The sequence below is a fragment of the Homo sapiens genome, chromosome 10, assembly GCF_000001405.40.
Source record: "Homo sapiens chromosome 10, GRCh38.p14 Primary Assembly".
Classification (NCBI taxonomy): domain Eukaryota; kingdom Metazoa; phylum Chordata; class Mammalia; order Primates; family Hominidae; genus Homo; species Homo sapiens.
Genome location: NC_000010.11, coordinates 65,408,510 through 65,411,246, shown reverse-complemented (window position 1 = coordinate 65,411,246; position 2,737 = coordinate 65,408,510). Strand labels below are relative to the sequence as shown.

Here is a 2,737-nt window from a genome sequence, read left to right as displayed (position 1 = left end):
ACACAACCATATTCATAACAAAATAAAGAGAAAATATTCCTGACAATTATGACAACCACAGGTCTCATCTATGTAAATGGTCACAGGGTCATAGCTGGTATTCACAACTACCATCTATCACTATTCATTCTGTGTTTTCTTTGCTTTCAGCAAGTGCTTGAGCTGGTTATAATTCTTTACCAAGTGAAGTGACCTAAACCAATCCTGAAGGGTCTAGGCATTAGTACTCCTATCTAATTGGTTGTCGTAGTTTTCCATTGACTTTATTCACAAGGTATGGTAATCCTAAGAGACTCCCTAGGGTATCTCCTGTATTCCACACATACTTTTTCTTACCTCCATTGTGAAATGGCAGTCCAGTTTTTCTTTGTTAGTCAGGAGCAGTCACCCCAACCAGCCCAGTAACTCCTGCTTTGCCTGTTGATTCAGAGGCATGAATAGTCCAAAATGGACTTGGTGGCAATCTTAACTTTTAATTCAATAAGTTAATTGTTAGATTTTATGATGGAAGCATTCCTCCCTTTGGAACTAAGAGTTTTAGTCCAGCAGAATATAAGGCCATGAAGACAAGAAGCAAACATTTTGATACTGAGTCACTAGGAGTAATAGAGATTCATGCCACTCCCATTTTCACCCCTCATTTCCCAGACTTCTTGAGTCCTGGCTATAGGAGAAACAGCATCATATATTGGACATTTTTTCGGAGCATATGTAGCCCACTGGATAACTTTGCAACAAGCCTGAAATGTATTGCCACCTAATTGGCAATGTAATTGAGTCTTTAAAAGGCCATTCCATAGATCTATCAATCCAGCTGTTTCAGCATAGCAAGGAACATGGTAAGACTAGTAAATTTCAGGAGCATGGCTCTATTGTCTCACTTCATTTGCTGTAAAATGAGTTCCTTAATCAGAAACACTCCTATGTGAAATAACATGATGGTGGACAGATATTACGTATGTCCATGGATGGTAGAAGCATTGTGTGCAGGGAAGGAAAATGCATATCCAAAGTAAATGTCCATTCCAGTAAGAACCAAACACTATCCCTTGTGGGGAAAAGAAAGAGAGATCAGATTGTTACTGTGTCTGTGTAGAAAGAAGTAGACATAGGAGACTCCATTTTGTTCTGTACTAAGAAAAATTCTTCTGCCTTGAGATGCTGTTAATCTATAACCTTACCCCCAACCCCTTGCTCTCTGAAACATGTGCTGTGTCAACTCAGGGTTAAATGGATTAAGGGCTGTGCAAGATGTGCTTTGTTAAGCAGATGCTTGAAGGCAGCATGCTCGTTAAGAGTCATCACCACTCCCTAATCTCAAGTACCCAGGGACACAAACACTGCGGAAGGCCGCAGGACCTCTGCCTAGGAAAGCCAGGTATTGTCCAAGGTTTCTCCCCATGTGATAGTCTGAAATGTGGCCTCGTGGGAAGGGAAAGACCTGACCATCCCCCAGCTTGATACCCGTAAAGGGTCTGTGCTGAGGAGGATTAGTATAAGAGGAAGGCATGCCTCTTTGCAGTTGAGACAAGAGGAAGGCATCTGTCTCCTGCCCGTCCCTGGGCAATGGAACGTCTCCGTATAAAACCCGATTGTACGTTCCATCTACTGAGATAGGGGAAAACCGCCTTAGGGCTGGAGGTGGGACATGCAGGCAGCAATACTGCTCTGTAAGGCATTGAGATGTTTATGTGTATGCATATCTAAAGCACAGCATTTAATTCTTTACCTTGTCTATGATGCAGAGACCTTTGTTCACGTGTTTATCTGCTGACCTTCTCTCCACTATTATCCTATGACCCTGACACATCCCCCTCTCCGAGAAACACCCAAGAATGATCAATAAATACTAAGGGAACTCAGAGGCTGGCGGGATCCTCCATATGCTGAACGCTGGTCCCCTGGGTCCCCTTATTTCTTTCTCTATACTTTCTCTCTGTGTCTTTTTCTTTTCCAAGTCTCTCGTTCCACCTAACGAGAAACACCCACAGGTGTGGAGGGGCAACCCACCCCTTCAATCCCTTCCATAACAGAAGTAATCAAATGTAGTAAGTGTGCCACCAGGTAGCTAGCTAATCACCCCGGGGAGTGGTGTCGTTTTGTAGACTCAGTGTTGGTCTCTGCTGCTGGCAGATTGGGCACTCGGCAGTGACTGTAGCCAGGTCACCTTGGTGAGTGGAAGTTTGTGTTTCCAATCATATGCACAACTTTCATCCCTGTCACCCTGGCCAATTTGTTGGTCCCATTGGGCAATGACAGAGGTGGCTGGAGAAAGGAGCAGACTGGTATTCACTGAACAGGTCATTCTACGCACTTGATTATTAAAGTCTCCCTCCACTAAAGTTACCTTTTGGTGAGCCTTCACATGGGTCAAAAATATCTTCATGGTTTTTGGCCCATTCAGAGAGGTCTACCCACCTCCTATCTCTACCCCAGACTGTTTTGTCATTAATTTTCCAACCATGTTACTGTCTAAGTCCCTGACCATCCAGCCAAACCATTGGCCATAGCCTATGAATCAGTATATAGTCACCTACAGGAGCACCCCAACCAGTCACTTCAGCATCCCTAACTGCCACCAACAATTAACACACCATTGCATCTGCTGAACCATATGTCTCACTTGCACATATGACAGCTTAAATGGCAGCCGGGAACTACTGCAGAGCTTTCTTTTATTCTGGGTCCTATTCAAAATCAGCAACTTTTTGGATCGCTCATCCTGTTTTTCTCCCAC

At 43.9% G+C, this 2,737-nt stretch overlaps 1 annotated feature.

The window, feature by feature from the left end:
* Positions 1,042-1,922: an enhancer, noted in NCBI's record as "NANOG hESC enhancer chr10:67169083-67169963 (GRCh37/hg19 assembly coordinates)". NCBI's record gives its function as "activates a minimal SCP1, AML or CMV promoter by ChIP-STARR-seq in primed H9 embryonic stem cells {active_cell/tissue: H9 hESC(primed)}" and the evidence as "EXISTENCE:reporter gene assay evidence [ECO:0000049][PMID:30033119]".